At 62.0% G+C, this 14,730-nt stretch overlaps 2 protein-coding genes across 40 annotated transcripts in view, besides 3 other annotated features; one reads left to right on the top strand and one right to left on the bottom strand.

The window, feature by feature from the left end:
• Positions 2,733 to 10,370, top strand: RGS11 (regulator of G protein signaling 11). Of its 12 annotated transcripts, none has more exons than XM_011522719.3 (18): positions 2,733 to 2,828; positions 3,179 to 3,275; positions 3,344 to 3,394; positions 3,595 to 3,701; positions 3,779 to 3,874; positions 4,412 to 4,463; positions 4,576 to 4,634; positions 4,841 to 4,917; positions 5,121 to 5,202; positions 5,746 to 5,814; positions 7,108 to 7,137; positions 7,217 to 7,278; positions 7,362 to 7,475; positions 7,578 to 7,693; positions 7,846 to 7,933; positions 8,016 to 8,154; positions 9,092 to 9,174; positions 9,294 to 10,370. In XM_011522719.3, exons 1-18 carry the CDS (start codon positions 2,766 to 2,768, stop codon positions 9,406 to 9,408), a joined length of 1,500 nt encoding a protein of 499 aa, XP_011521021.1. In that variant the 5' UTR covers positions 2,733 to 2,765; the 3' UTR covers positions 9,409 to 10,370. The 12 variants fall into 12 exon arrangements, with proteins under 12 accessions (XP_011521021.1, XP_011521022.1, NP_899180.1 ...); XM_011522720.3 differs by having other exon boundaries at positions 2,733 to 2,839; NM_183337.3 differs by lacking the exon at positions 3,779 to 3,874.
• Positions 2,817 to 3,468: an enhancer, noted in NCBI's record as "H3K4me1 hESC enhancer chr16:325209-325860 (GRCh37/hg19 assembly coordinates)". NCBI's record gives its function as "activates a minimal SCP1, AML or CMV promoter by ChIP-STARR-seq in naive H9 embryonic stem cells {active_cell/tissue: H9 hESC(naive)}" and the evidence as "EXISTENCE:reporter gene assay evidence [ECO:0000049][PMID:30033119]".
• Positions 4,656 to 5,192: an enhancer, noted in NCBI's record as "H3K27ac-H3K4me1 hESC enhancer chr16:323485-324021 (GRCh37/hg19 assembly coordinates)". NCBI's record gives its function as "activates a minimal SCP1, AML or CMV promoter by ChIP-STARR-seq in primed H9 embryonic stem cells {active_cell/tissue: H9 hESC(primed)}" and the evidence as "EXISTENCE:reporter gene assay evidence [ECO:0000049][PMID:30033119]".
• Positions 5,193 to 5,729: an enhancer, noted in NCBI's record as "H3K27ac-H3K4me1 hESC enhancer chr16:322947-323484 (GRCh37/hg19 assembly coordinates)". NCBI's record gives its function as "activates a minimal SCP1, AML or CMV promoter by ChIP-STARR-seq in primed H9 embryonic stem cells {active_cell/tissue: H9 hESC(primed)}" and the evidence as "EXISTENCE:reporter gene assay evidence [ECO:0000049][PMID:30033119]".
• The window catches only part of FAM234A (family with sequence similarity 234 member A), a 35,143-nt gene continuing 29,126 nt past the window's right edge, over positions 8,714 to 14,730 (bottom strand). For 27 of the 28 annotated variants that reach the window (XM_047434744.1, XM_047434753.1, XM_047434745.1 and 24 more), the window contains 3 exons: positions 14,506 to 14,661; positions 13,961 to 14,063; positions 12,581 to 13,866 (listed from right to left, as the gene is read on the bottom strand). In XM_047434744.1, the coding sequence (XP_047290700.1) occupies positions 13,655 to 13,866; positions 13,961 to 14,063; positions 14,506 to 14,661 (471 nt within the window). In that variant the 3' untranslated portion in view covers positions 12,581 to 13,654. Of the gene's footprint in view, positions 9,158 to 9,671; positions 9,902 to 12,580; positions 13,867 to 13,960; positions 14,064 to 14,505; positions 14,662 to 14,730 lie in introns of those variants that run through there. The other variant, NR_104317.2, reaches the window with a different exon arrangement.

The following is a 14,730-nucleotide window of genomic DNA, read 5'->3' as shown; positions in this document are numbered from 1 at the left end:
GATGCGGTGGTACACATCTGTAGTCCCAGCTACTCAGGACGCTGGGGTGGGAGAATCACTTGAGCTCAGGAGTTTGAGGCTGCAATGAGTTTATGATTGCACCACTGCACTCCAGCCTGGGTGACAGAATGAGACTGCCATCTCTCAAAAAATAAATACATAGCCAGGTGCCATGGCTCATGCCTGTAATCCCAACATTTGGGAGGCTGAGGCAGGAGGATCACTTGAGGCCAGGAGTTCAAGATCAGCCAGCCTAGGCAACACAGCAAGAAACTGAGGCCCTTACAGACAGGGATAAGCGAGGGGCTACGTGTATATTTATCTACAAAAATAAAAATGAAATTAAAAAAAAAATTAGTGGCCAGGTGCGGTGGCTCATGCCTGTAATCCCAGCACTTTGGGAGGCCAAGGCAGGTGGATCACTTGAGGTCAGGAAGTTTGATACCAGCCTGGCCAACACGGTGAAACCCCATCTCTACTAAAAATGCAAAAAAAAAAACAAAAAAAAAAATTAGCCGGGCATGGTGGCGCATGCCTCTGATCCCACCTACTTGGGAGCTGAGGCAAGAGAATCGCTTGAACCCAGGAGGCGGAGGTTGCAGTGACCCGAGATTGCACCATTGCACTCCAGCCTAGGCAACAAGAGTGAAACTCCATCTCAAAATAAATAAATAAATAATTTAAAAAATAAAGAAAGCAAGCAGAAATAGATGCATTTGCACCTTTTAAAAATGGTGCTGAGGCTGGGCTCGGTGGCTCAGGCCTGTAATCCCAGCACTTCGGGAGGCCGAGGTGGGCAGATCGCCTAAGGTCAGGAGTTCAAGACCAGCCTGGCCAACAAGGTGAAATGCTGTCTCTACTAAAAATACAAAAATTAGCCAAGCGTGGTGGCGGGGGCCTGTAATCTCAGCTACTCAGGAGGCTGAGGCAGGAGAATTGCTTGAATCTGGGAGGAGGAGGTTGCAGTGAGACGAGATTGCGCCATTGCACTCCAGCCTGACAGAGCAAGACTCAGTCTCAAAAAAAAAAAAAAAAAAAAGATGCTGGCTGGGCATGCCTTTAATCCCAGCACGCTGGGAAGCTGAGGCAGGAGGATGGACTGAGCCCAGGAGTTTGTGACCACCTTGGGCAACATAGTGAGACCTCGACTTAGTTTTTAAAAAATGATCCGACCGGGTGTGGTGGCTCACACCTGTCATCCCAGAACTTTGGGAGGCCAAGGCAGGTGGATCACCTGAAGTCAGGAGTTTGAGACCAGCCTGGCCAACATGGTGAAACCCCATCTCTACTAAACATACCAAAATCGGCCAGGCACAGTGGCTCACACCTATAAGCCTAGCACTTTGGGAGGCCAAGGCAGGCACATCACCTGAGGTCAGGAGTTCGAAACCAGCCTGGCCAACGTGGTGAATCCCTATCTCTACTAAAAATACAAAAATTAGCTGGGTGTGGTGGCGCGTGCCTGTAATCCCAGCTACCTAGGAGGCTGAGACAGGAGAATCGCTGGAACCCAGGAGGCGGAGGCTGCAGTGAGCCAAGACCGCATCACTGCACTCCAGCTTGGGTGACACAGTGAGACTCCGTCTCAAAAACAAAAACAAAAATAAAAATTAGCCAGGCGTGGTGGTGGGAGCCTGTAATCCCAGCTACTCAGGAGGCTGAGGCATGAGAATTGCTTGAATTCAGGAGGCGGAGGTTGCAGTGAGCCGAGACTGCCCGGTGGGGCCTGAAGATCCTGGGCCTGGCTCGGGGTGCACCTGGGGGACAGGCATAGCCATTGGAGGAGGGAGAGAGCTGGGAGTGGAGTGGGGCCTGAAGCCTGGCGGCCGCCGGTGACACTAAGTGGGTGTGTGTTGAGGGCCTCCCTGCAGTAAAGCTCCTCTCCAACAGTGTCAGGGTGCCCTGGGCAGGGTTTCTGCTCATTCCCCAGCGGGCCACCCAGGCCTGCGTGGAGCTGAGGGAAGTGAGCCATGAGCCATCAGCCACTTTCCCGGAAGGACCCCGGATAAGGGACCCACAGCAGGAGATGGGGACAGCTGGGTCACACTCTGCAGCAGCCACGTGCTCCACTGACAGCCGGCATCCGGCCCATGTAGAAAGCTGACCCAATCTCTCATGCACCCTGCCCCTAACCAGCCACCGTCACAGCAATGTATGCAGTCTTGGCCACAAGCATCGCAGGACACAAGGCCTCGGGCAGTCATACCGCTGGCCCTGGCCCCGGCCCCACAGCCAGGCCTCTAGTCCCTGTATGTCCTCAGGGCCCCACACATAGGACCGGGGTTACAGTGGGCCCTAAACCACGTTTCCCACCCCAGTTCACTCTCCCTACGGGTCTCCTCTACTCACGGAACCCCTCTCCCTCTCTGAACCCCCATCCCCTCCGCTGCCCTCCCTGAGACCCTCCCCATAGTAACCCCCCCTCGCTGATGAGCCCCTCTGCCTCTCCCAGAGACCACCCCCTGCTCCAGCTGAGCTCCATCCCCTCACATCCCCCCTCGGCCCCCGGCCCACACCCTCCCCCGTCCCACTTCGCCTTCACCCACGAGGGCCTCAGCGTCCCGGGACCTGGGTCGGGGGGGTGACTCGGGTCGCTCGTGGGGGGCCGGCTCGTTTGCCTCTGGGCCGTGGCCGTGTCTCTTAAAACCCGAACCGGGGCCTGGGCGACTCTGGCCTCGCGGCCCGAGGGTTAACCCGGGCGCGGCGCGGCGCGGGGCGGGGCCGGGCGGGACGTCGGTCATCCCCGCCGGCCTCGCCCCGCAGCCATGGCCGCCGGCCCCGCGCCGCCCCCCGGCCGCCCCCGGGCGCAGATGCCGCATCTGAGGAAGGTGCGAGGCGGGTGGGTGTCCCGCCGTCCCCCGATTTCCCGGCGCCCGAGGCCGGGAGGGGCCGGAGAGCATGGGGACACGGGGGCGCGCGGGGCGGGGCGGGCCTGGGGCGGAGGTCTGCGAGGCCGGGAGGGGCGGCGAGGCCTGGGGCCCTTGGGGGTCTCCGGGGTCTCCCCGGCCCTCCCCGGCCCTCCCCGGCCCGCCCCGCGTCCCCGCCGCCAGCTGCGGCCTGGAATCCGCCGCCGCCGCGCGTTAATCTCCGCGCTCCCGGATCCGGGGCATCCCGGCCGGTGCCAGGGAATCAGGGTTGCGGGGCGGCCAGACACCCCCTGACGACTCCCTCCGCCCAGATGGAGCGGGTGGTCGTGAGCATGCAGGACCCCGACCAGGGCGTGAAGATGCGGAGCCAGCGCCTGCTGGTCACCGTCATTCCCCACGCGGTGACAGGTGAGGCGCGCCGGGGCGGGGGTGCGTGCGCGCCTCGGCCTCCCTCCACCTCTGTCTCTCCCGTGCAGGCAGCGACGTCGTGCAGTGGTTGGCCCAGAAGTTCTGCGTCTCGGAGGAGGGTGAGCGCCCTGCCTCCCACTGGGCCCTGGGGTCACTGGGCTGGTGGCCTAGGCCTGGGTTTTCCTGGAGTCTGGCAGTTCTCAGAGCCCTGCTGAGCGCGCTGTGCAAGGGTGGGGAGCACATAGGGGAGAGGAGGCCCGGCTCGTCCCGCCCTCGCCCGCTTCCGCGGCCCCGCGCTCACCGTCCCACCCCTCCCCAGAGGCCCTGCACCTGGGCGCCGTCCTGGTGCAGCATGGCTACATCTACCCGCTGCGCGACCCCCGTAGCCTCATGCTCCGGCCAGACGAGACGCCCTACAGGTTCCAGGTCAGGCTCGGGGGTGCAGGTGGGAGCCGGTGGGACCCCCACCCCCACCCACCCAGCTTACCAACTCGGGGAGACAGGAGGGGCGCCGAGCTTGCTGGGATTGGAGTGGGACTCCGCCATGTCGCCGTGGGCTGGTGGTCCATCGCCCCCTCCCCAAAAGTCCTGGACCGCAAGTACGGATGTGGTGAGAAGGACCCGGCTGAGGGATGGAGCCTCAGTTTTCCTGGGGACCACAGCAGGGCCCCACAAGGGGTCGTATGTGCAGAGGATTCTGCCATCTTCCTGGGGGTCCCTAGGCCCAGGTCCTGAGGGAGGGGCTGTGAAGGCCTGAGGACAGCATTCCTGCCCTCCCTAACCACATCAGGGTCCCGGGCCGACCTGCCGTCGGTTGTACCCCTCCCCAGGCACAGACTGTGACTACATCCAAGACTTGTGCAGGCCCCCAGCCCCACCCCGCCTTGAATGGGGGCTTAGGGTGACCAGTGAGGGAGGCAGTGTCTGAACAGGGCCCTAAGGAGCGAGTTGACCTCAGTTCTAGTTGGAGAGACTGGCCAGTGGTCAGTGGAGTCTCTCGGTGGTGGGCAGGCAGGGAGATCCTCAGACACCTCCTGCCCAGCCCAGGCTTCTTCCCAGGGAGGTCTGAGGGTGGGGTGACACTGGGGAGGCACAGACGCAGGCGTCCTGGACACCTTCTCCCTGCACCACGCCAGACCCCGTACTTCTGGACAAGTACCCTGAGGCCGGCTGCAGAGCTGGACTATGGTGAGCAAGGGGACGGCTGGCCCCAGACAAGTTCCCAGGACTGGGGGCCTCAGGGTGATGCCGTGAGGCAGGGCAGAGCTGGCCCCTCTGCAGGCTGTCCCTGTTCTTCCAGCCATCTACCTGGCCAAGAAGAACATCCGAAAACGGGGGACCCTGGTGGATTATGAGAAGGTGGGACCCCCCACCCTTCCCGCCCCGGCTGGGTACAGCTGGAGGAACCCAAGCCTCACTCACGGCCCCCCGGGGCTTCACGGTTTACCCCAGAACATACAGCCCAGGCCCCAAAACCCAAGACAGTCCCCAACCCCCCAACTGCCCACACAGTCTCACTGGGGGCAGGGGCCGGGGTGACCCACTGGAAACCTCGCTGCCCCCAGGACTGCTATGACCGGCTACACAAGAAGATCAACCACGCATGGGACCTGGTGCTGATGCAGGCGAGGGAGCAGCTGAGGTGAGGCCCCGCCCTGCCCCGCCCCGCCTGCAGGCGCCCAACCCAGGCTACCCGGGAAGCCCAGCCCAGGCCAGGCTCCGGTGGCCCTGGGACCGTGGAGGGCACCCCTGGGTGTGGCTGCCTGCCCAGGTCCAGGCCTGAGGGTGGGGGCGGAGGGGCTGCTGTGTGCAGGGCGTGCCCTCAACTCGGCCTCCTCCTCCCAGGGCAGCCAAGCAGCGCAGCAAGGGGGACAGGCTGGTCATTGCGTGCCAGGAGCAGACCTACTGGCTGGTGAACAGGCCCCCGGTGAGCCCACCTGCGGTGAGGGTGGGGGTCGCTGGCCAGCGCAGGGGTCAGCGTGCTTCCCTGACAGGCGCTCTCAGGACCACCATTTTGAGCCTGTGGAAGGACCTGCCTTGGAGCTCCTGGTGGGGGCAGGACGTTTTCACTTCGTGACTTAGTTGCGTTTCTGCCAATCAGAACCCAGGTCTCCATCCCTAGACCACAGGACAAGCCAGCTTCTCTCTGGGCCCAAGGGAGAGTCACAGGGATGCCAGATTGCGGGGACTGCAGACTCTGCCTCGGGAGCAGGCAGAGTGGGGGCGGCCTTGGCTGCAGTGGGGGGACCGAGTTCACAGGCCGGGAGCAGCTGGGGCTGTGGGGAGGCCCGGTGGACAGGCCATTTGGAGGTGGTGAGCAGAGAAGAGACAGCTGACGGCTAGGTCGGGACTCTTCCCGAGTTCCTTTGAGTGTCAGTTTCCACATGGGGGTCTGGGAGGGGGAACTTAGCCTTAAAGGGGGTCAGCCACCGGAACTGCATCCCCACCTCATCTCGTCTCCCCTCCGCAGCCCGGGGCCCCCGATGTGCTGGAGCAGGGTCCAGGGCGGGGATCCTGCGCTGCCAGCCGTGTGCTCATGGTGAGCCCCTGCGTGCGTGCTGGCCGCCCTCTCACCCTGCACACCGGCTGCACCCTGCTGGACGCACCATGGGACTGCCCATCTGTCCGTCATTTGGTCCACCCAGAGGGCACTTGGTGCAGCCTCCCCAAGCCCCTGCTCACTCCCGGTCACTCCCTGTTCCCCAGGCCCCTGCTAACTCTCGCTTTCTCTCCCCTCCCACCTGCTGCCCTGGGTGCAGGTAAGTGGAGTGGTGGGGACGAGGGGGCTGGCGGGGAGGAAGGGGGCTCTTCTCCAGAACAGTATCAGGGTTTGCTGGGAATTGGAGGGGTGACAAGCAGGGTTACGGCCTCTGACAGACCTCAGCAGATCCAGCAACCTCCCTCCAGGTGGAGGCCTCCAGAACCAGAGGGACCAGACCAGAGGGAGCATCTGAGCCCCGCAGCAGCAAAACCCTTTGTTCAAACCAGTCCCATCCAGACCCAACATCTGGAAAGATGCACCTAGAACCTCACTGATAAAACTTCTTAAGTTCACGACCCTAACATTTCCCCATACAAAGCTGGTCAGAGAGAGCGGGGACACAGGCCAGGACTCGCAGCGCGTCCGCCTCCTCCGCTCTGGCCCCAGCGAGGTGCCGACCAATGAAGGTCACACCTGGTTCCCCAGTGATCCCCATTAGTAGTATTTCTCAAGTATGTGTTGTTTAAAAACATAATTTAAGTACATTTGAAAATGTGACATATTAGGCCGGGCGCGGTGGCTCACGTCTCTAATCCCAGCACTTTGGGAGGCTGAGGCGGGCAGATCACCTGAGTTCAGGAGTTCGAGACCAGCTAGATCAACATGGAGAAACCCCGTCTCTATTAAAAATACAAAATTAGCTGGGCTTGGTGGCGCATGCCTGTAGTCCCAGCTACTGGAGAGGCTGAGGCAGGAGAATAGCTTGAATCCAGGAGGCGGAGGTTGCGGTGAGCCGAGATCGCACCACTGCACTCCAGCCTGGGAAACAAGAGTGAAACTGTCTCAAAAAAATAATAAAGAAAAAAAAATGACATATTACAGTTGCAACTTTGAGAACCTGAGGTTCCGTGGAATATTCCACAGATCGCCAGACCTTAGGCCCCCAGAGGTCTCCTCGAAAGATCCCTGATTGGAAGAAGGGGCTCCAAGGGGCGGGACTGGGGGCCTGGGCCACCATCTCTGCCAGATCTATGGGGCAGGGGCTCAGCCTGGGGAGGTGCCCTCCTGCTGGGGATTTTGGACCCCAGCAGGGGACCTGCATCTAACTGCAGCCCACCTATCCCCTTCTAGACCAAGAGTGCAGATTTCCATAAGCGGGAGGTAAGTTCTGGAGCTGGGAGTGGAGGGTGCCAGGTGCCTTCCCCAGCCCGGGACCTGACTCACAGGCCCCACATCCTAGATCGAGTACTTCAGGAAAGCGCTGGGCAGGACCCGAGTGAAGTCCTCCGTCTGCCTTGAGGCGTGAGTGGGGTGAGGGGTGGCAGCTGGAGACCCCTGCTGAGTGCTGAGGCCCCTCCTGCACCAGCCCCCATACCCCCTTCCAGGTACCTGAGTTTCTGCGGCCAGCGTGGACCCCACGATCCCCTCGTGTCGGGGTGCCTGCCCAGCAATCCCTGGATCTCAGACAATGACGCCTACTGGGTCATGAATGCCCCCACGTGAGCCCAGGCGGGGCAGCGGGACTGCGGGTGTGCTCCCAGCCTGGGGGGACGCAGGAGGGTCAGTCCCCACCCTCCCCAACAGCCCTGCCCTCTCCCCAGGGTGGCTGCCCCCACGAAGCTCCGTGTGGAGAGATGGGGCTTCAGCTTCCGGGAGCTCCTGGAGGACCCCGTGGGGCGGGCCCACTTCATGGACTTTCTGGGAAAGGAGTTCAGTGGTGAGAACCCCCCAGCCCCTGCTCCAGTCCCAGCGGGGAGGCTGCTGCCTGGGACCCCTCCCGCCTCGGTTTCCACCAGCTCCCTGGGAACCCCCCACCGGCCCTGGCTGCCACTCTCGATGGGATCCTTGACTGGGTGCCCGGCCCCCCAGGAGAAAACCTCAGCTTCTGGGAGGCATGTGAGGAGCTTCGATATGGAGCGCAGGCCCAGGTCCCCACCCTGGTGGATGCCGTGTACGAGTAAGTGCTGCGTGGTGGGCACCGGTTGGCCAACGGGCAGGTGCACCCAGCCGAGACTACCCAGTGCTGTCCCCACCCCTAGGCAGTTCCTGGCCCCCGGAGCTGCCCACTGGGTCAACATCGACAGCCGGACCATGGAGCAGACCCTGGAGGGGCTGCGCCAGCCCCACCGCTATGTCCTGGATGACGCCCAGCTGCACATATACATGCTCATGAAGAAGGTGGGTGCTGGGCCAGCCTGCAGGGGCAGGAGGGGTCATCCCAGACGGGCCTCCATGTCCCCACCCTCAAGGGCTCTGTCCGCACAGGCACTGCCCACGTTGACTCTGCCCCTGGGGAGCACCTTCCCCACCTGGTTGGGGCCGCCCTGGCCGCTCTCCTGTCAGTGTTCCGTCCTGAGCCCACTCCGGGTTCAGACAGGCTGAAGGACTGGCCCAGATCACATGCTTAATAAGGGTCAAGCTTCGATCTAAAAAGTTTTGTTTTCTTTTGTTTTGAGGCGAGTCTCGCTCTGTCGCCCAGGCTGGAGTGCAGTGGCGGGATCTCGGCTCAGTGCAAGCTCCACCTCCCGGGTTCACGCCATCCTCCTGCCTCAGCCTCCTGAGTAGCTGGGACTACAGGCGCCCGCCACCACGCCCGGCTAATTTTTTGTATTTTTAGTAGAGACGGGGTTTCACCGTGTTACCCAGGACGGTCTCGATCTCCCAACCTCATGATCCACCCGCATCAGCCTCCCAAAGTGCTGGGATTACAGGCGTGAGCCACTCTGCCCGGCCGGGATCACAGGCGTGAGCCACCATGCGTGGCCTACCTTGTTTTTTTATTTGACTCCACAACCCTGCCCTCACTCTGTGGGGCACACGGAGCCATTCCTGGTTCCCGCTAATGGCTGAGGAGGTGCCGCGGTTTATTCCTCTACACGTGGCCACCAGGGCTCTTGCCATTTTTTGCTGCGACATGGCCCAGGCAGACGGGAGCCCAGGTCTCCCTGCGTCTGCCTTGGTCTGGGCAGGTCCGAGGCGGCTGCCTCCAGCACCCTGTCCGCCGGAGACTCTGTGGCTGGAGGAGGCTCCAGCAATGTTTGGCTGCTCCTTCGGGTGGAGCTGGCTGAGAGGTGAGGAGGCAGAAGGGTCAGGGGCTGGACGCTGTCTCTTGTAGGACTCCTACCCAAGGTTCCTGAAGTCTGACATGTACAAGGCCCTCCTGGCAGAGGCTGGGATCCCGCTGGAGATGAAGAGACGGTGAGCCCAGGCAGTGCCCTGTGGCCGGCGGCTGTGGCCTGGGGGCTGCTGGGGCCCTGCAGTGAGGTGGGCAGGACACCAGCTGGCCAGCCTGTTCTCAGCCGCCTTCTCGCCCACAGCGTGTTCCCGTTTACGTGGAGGCCACGGCACTCGAGCCCCAGCCCTGCACTCCTTCCCACCCCTGTGGAGCCCACAGCGGCTTGTGGCCCTGGGGGTGGAGATGGGGTGGCCTAGTGGACCTGGCCCATCTGCCACTCTAGTCCCTGCAGCTCAACGTCCTGCGTGAATGCAGCAGCCACCCCCGTCTTGGCCCAGGTCCTGGGGGCTGCTGAACCCAGCACCAGTGTCCCCTTGTGCCCAGGGGGCCCAGTCTTCTGTGGGGTGCACAGCCTCCCTCCCTCCAGCAAGCCCTCCCTGCCCAGAAGGAATGGGTCCAGGTGTGGATTCCCAGGGAGGGGGTTCATTGGCTCAGCTTGGGTCAGGGCAGAGCCTGTTACCTGAAGAGAGGTGAGACCAAGGCCACAGGGAGCTCCACCTTCTCTGGTCTTCAGTCCAGCACTGGGTGCCCATCCCCATCTCTAAAACCAGTAAATCAGCCAGCGAATACCCGGAAGCAAGATGCACAGGCGGGCGGCTTCCCACACACCCGTCACAAGACGCGGACATGCAGGTCTCGGCGCGAGCTCTGCCCCGTCCAAGAGCCTCTCCGCTGTCGCCCAGTGTGAGCCTGGAAGAGGACCCAAGAGAGTGCCGTGCTGAGGCTGCCTCGAGGTCACTGCCTTCCGGAGCTGCGCCTATTCCTCCCTCGCCAAACGCGTTCCAGAATTTGTCCACAGGTGCGCCGGCACCTGCTTTCCCACCTCGAGGCCGCGGCCTCCCCCCCGATTTATAGACAACTCTGACATTGTCACCCCACTGACGAGGCCCGATTCCATAGGGTGGATCCTTGCCAGGCGTCCCTGATCCTCCCTGCCCAAGTCTTCCTTCGTGAGCTGGCCTTGCTCCCCATCCCCCAAGTGCCTCACCAGTCCCCCAGACTGGGTGAAGGTACAGCTGGCTCCTTTCGGGGGTGCAGCTTCAACTCTCTCGGCGGTAGGGCGGTGCCATCCCCACCCATAGGGCTGGCTCACATCCAGTCACTCCCAACAGCGTCCAGCACACAAATAAAAGACCCTTGGGCCCTGGCTCTGAGCCCATCCTGCTGTGGGTGCAGCTTATGGTGTGACGGTGCATGTGACACATGCATGGGTGTGTGTGCGTATGAGGCATGTGTAGCACTGAGGCACACGTGTGGTGTGTATGTATAGCGTGTGTGATTGTGTGTAGTGCACGTGTGCAGGTGTACTGAGGCATGCATATGTGGTGTGTGTGTGCACGTGTCGTGTGTATGAGGCATGTGTAGCACTGAGGCACAAGTGTGTGTACGCATAGCATGTGTGATTGTGTGTAGCACCCGTGTGCAGGTGTACTGTGAGGCATGCATATGTGGTGTGTGTGCGTGTGTATGAGGCATGTGTAGCACTGAGGCACACGTGTGGTGTGTACGCATAGCATGTGTGATTGTGTGTAGTGCACGTGTGCAGGTGTACTGTGAGGCATGCATGTGTGGTATGTGCATGTGTCGTGTAGGATGCATGTGTAGCACTGAGGCACACGTGTGGTGTGTACGCATAGCATGTGTGATTGTGTGTAGTGCACGTGTGGTGTACTGTGAGGCATGTGTGGTGTGTGCACGTGTTGTGTGTATGAGGCATGTGTAGCACTGAGGCACACGTGTGGTGTGTACGCATAGCACGTGTGATTGTGTGTAGTGCACGTGTGCAGGTGTACTGTGAGGCATGCATATGTGTGTGCACGTGTCGTATGAGGCATGTGTAGCACTGAGGCACACGTGTGGTGTGTACGCATAGCACGTGTGATTGTGTGTAGTGCACGTGTGCAGGTGTACTGTGAGGCATGCATGTGTGGTGTGTGTGCACGTGTCGTGTAGGATGCATGTGTGGTGCACATTGCATGTATGAGGTGTGCACATGTATAGTACATATGTGTGAATGTATTGTGCATGTGATGTGTGCAGTGTGTGGTGAGGGAGGGGGCAGGTCCCAGGTGTGTGGAGTCGATGGTGGAGGAGGGACTTGACCCTCTCAGACCCAGGCAGCAGACTTGGGGCATCTGGTCTTTGGGAGGAGACAGCCAGGGCACTGTGCTCTGGTGGGCTAGGGTGAGCAGGGTAGTGTGTGGGGACGCCTGCCCTCCAGAGGGGGAACAGTGAGGAAACTGTTAAGGAAGCCTCTGGGGAGGGGCAGTTGTCCCCAGCCTGCCCTAAGGCCACAGAGCTGCAGAGGGCATGGCATGGCATGGCCCAGACTCTCTAGGGCCCGCAGTGACCACAGGGCAAGAATCCCTTCTTCACAGTCTGGGGGTGCAGGCTGTTCCTGCAGGGAGGGAAACTTCTGCCCACCAGCAATGGCACCCCTTGGCCCAGCCCCTCAACTCCGGCTTCTCAGGGTGGGGCTCATGGCCCTGCCCACCCCTCCATGGCCAGGGGCACAGCTGCTCCTCTGACCTGCAGGGTGACCCCTCCCTTTGGGGACCCCCTGCCCTCCCTCCCGTGCTGTCAGGGGGCAGCTCTTGCAACCCCAGTGAACCTTCCCTTCTCCCTCCAGCCCCACCCTGCCCGCCTGGCGGTTCTCACTTATAGGACGCGTCCGCAGAGCCCTATATGGCCCTTTCATACCCAAGGCCTTCTGGGCTGAGTTACTTTTCTCAGGGACAAGAGAACCGCTTCCTGGCACGAGGGCACCCACCTGTTCAACCTCATCCCCCACGTCCCCCTACCACGCCTTGGAAGGAGCAATGGGAACAAGGTTACACCTGTGTGGCTCTGAAGCGGGGCTTTTCACACTTGCATACATGGCCGTGGGACAGTCCTGCAGGGCTCTCTAAAGCACCTGCCTGCCCCTCACTGCCGCCACACCCAAAGCTGCATCTCCGGGAAGCCCCTGCCTGGGCTCCTCTTGCCTGCAGGGTCACCAGAGCTCACCCCGGCCCTACCATCATCCCTTCACGCTGGACTCCAGCCAGCCCTCAGACGTCACGCGGTGCCGAGGCCACCGTCTGTTCCAGGTGGGAGCACACCCGCTTGCATGGGGCCAGGGTGCCCAGCTTGGTGGGCAGGGGTCCTCAAACCGGAGACCCCCAGAGGATGTCAAGATTGCTGGGTGCCCAGTTTCTGACTGAGCAGGTCTGGGTGGGGGTGCTCGCCTCCTCGGCAGCCCTCCCCACCCTGACCCAGGCTGGCCAGCAAATTCCTGGTCACTCCTCCAGGAACAAATCCATTTGACTACTTAGGGAGCAGACAGACAGGCAGACGCACACACGCTAGGCTCACGCCTGACCACCGGGGTTTTTCAGGCAGTGCAAAAATGTTTATTCTGCTTTCTTCCTTGGTGGGTGGGTCATCAGGCTGCTTTGGCTACGAAGCTCAGGCTCTGTGACCTGGGCGGCCCGAGCAGTACAGAGCACCATGGCTGCCCTTGGGCCTCAGGAGCAGCAAGGCACAGAGGTGAGTCCTGCATCGGGTGGCACGGCGTGGGCGTGTGAGCACCGGAAGGGGAGAGGCAGGCGCTTGCCATGCCTGGGGCACGGGGCCTCTTCAGGGACAGAGCAGCTCCAGTGTCTACTGAGAGGGCACAGACTGACCCAAACACGCATTCCACAGCCAGTTCCTTGGGATATTCACAGCACATGCAGCCAGTAGACAGCTGCAACACCACTAAGGACACCTGTGAGCGGCCACGGGCTCAGCTCCAGAGCAGGCCCCACCCATCCTGCTGGGGGAGACCCTTGCTCCAGGCTTCCTCACAGGACCTGGTCAAAGGAACCAAGTCACACCCCCCATGCTAGAGGATCCCCCTGTAGCTCCGGGAAGGGCTGCGAAGCTGGAGCTGTCTCAGGTTCCCGTTGAGGCCCAGTACCCTGAGTTCCATGACTCCTTGGGGGACAGAGCACAGGAGGGAAAAGGGGAATGGACTTCTACAGGATGGGGTGGGGGACGGCCTGTCCCGGGGACACCCTGGTTCTTTCTACGCGATGGCCGCTCTGGCCTGGGGAGAAGCTGGCAAGGAGAGGGCACCGGGTAAGGATGGGGTGCTGCATGACCCAGCTCTGCCCAAGGTGGCCAGGGAGACCACTATGAAGGCTGCCTGGTGTGAGCGGGACCCTGGTGGGGTGCAGAGTGAGGCCCTGTGTGGGGACTCAGGGAGGATGCTGGGCGGGAGAGAGGCCCAGGGTGTCCCCTCACCCATGCAGGTCCCTGGGTGTGATCATGGAGGACTGGTAAGGCTGCTGCTGCCCAGTGGCGACCATCACCAGGGTCAGGAGTGGGGGAGTCAGTGCAGAGACCCAGGGAAGGGCCCACTTCCCAGGACGTTTAGTGTCAGCAGGCGGAGTCTCTCCACAGGCTCTGGCTGGCGTGCCTCTACGCCTCACTCTGGTACCGCAGCCGGGAGAACCGGTCCCTGATGGCTTGGTCACTGTCTGGCCCACCCTCACCCAGGCGGACCACCCTGCTGCTTGGGACAAGGTCCCGCACCTTGTGCTTGATCACAGAGACCAGGCCGGGTGCCTCTGAGTCTGCCGGGCCTGTCAGAAGGATGTAGGCGGCGTGGCGGCTTGGCTCAAACAGGACGGCTGCAGGGTGGGGGACACAGCTGTCAGGGCGGCTCAGGACCAGCCAGGGCAGACCCCGCGGAACACCCGGGTCCCTGGCCGAGGCCACACTCACCGTCAAAGGCGACAATGTGGGTAGAGACATTGGCCAGCTCCAGCAGCACGCGCGGCAGGGTGGGGTGGAACATGTACAGGCTGTGCCGGGCCTCCCCGGTCTCCTGGAGCGAGAACCAGCAATGGGCCCCACGCCCTTCACTGAGCACTCCCACAGGACACTGCTGTCAGAGTGACCGTGCCTGGAGCTCTATGTCTGCTAGGGGCCCTATCTGGGTCCCCCAAATGCCAGCCCCCAGTTCTGTGGCCACCTCCCAGGTCCTCCCACCCCACCTGGTCCTGACACTGGTCCTTGCCGGCAGCCACTCCCTTCAGGGCATGGCTGTGTGCGCCCCTATCCACCGAAGGCCATCAGCCCCTTCTCGCTGGACCCCTCTAAGGTCACTTTGCCTCAGCTTGCACCACCTCATCCTGACTGTCACTGGACTTCAACTTATGTGAGGTTGCCCAGGCACCGATGAGCTTCTGGGCACTCCACGGTGGAGCTCCAGCCTGGGTCTCTGGCCCCGGCTCCCAGCATGGCTGCTCCGAGGGTGGCTCCCGTACCGTCTCGCTGGTGCTCCCCAGCTCGTGGAGGCCCCAGAAGAAGAAGGCTGAGCGGTGGTCTGCGGTCGGCAGGCTGGCGGACAGTGGACCCCCAGGGAGGCTCGGGAGGGCTAGGCTACACAGGACGGCTCCAGTGCCAAGGTCCAGAAACAGGATCTGGGGAGGGAGGGGACACTGTGGGGGCCAACGTGGGGGCTACCGGGAAAAGCTCGAGGCTTGCACAGG

Source organism: Homo sapiens, chromosome 16 (genome assembly GCF_000001405.40).
Source record: "Homo sapiens chromosome 16, GRCh38.p14 Primary Assembly".
Taxonomy (NCBI): Eukaryota; Metazoa; Chordata; class Mammalia; order Primates; family Hominidae; genus Homo; species Homo sapiens.
This window is presented reverse-complemented; position numbering and strand designations above follow the sequence as displayed.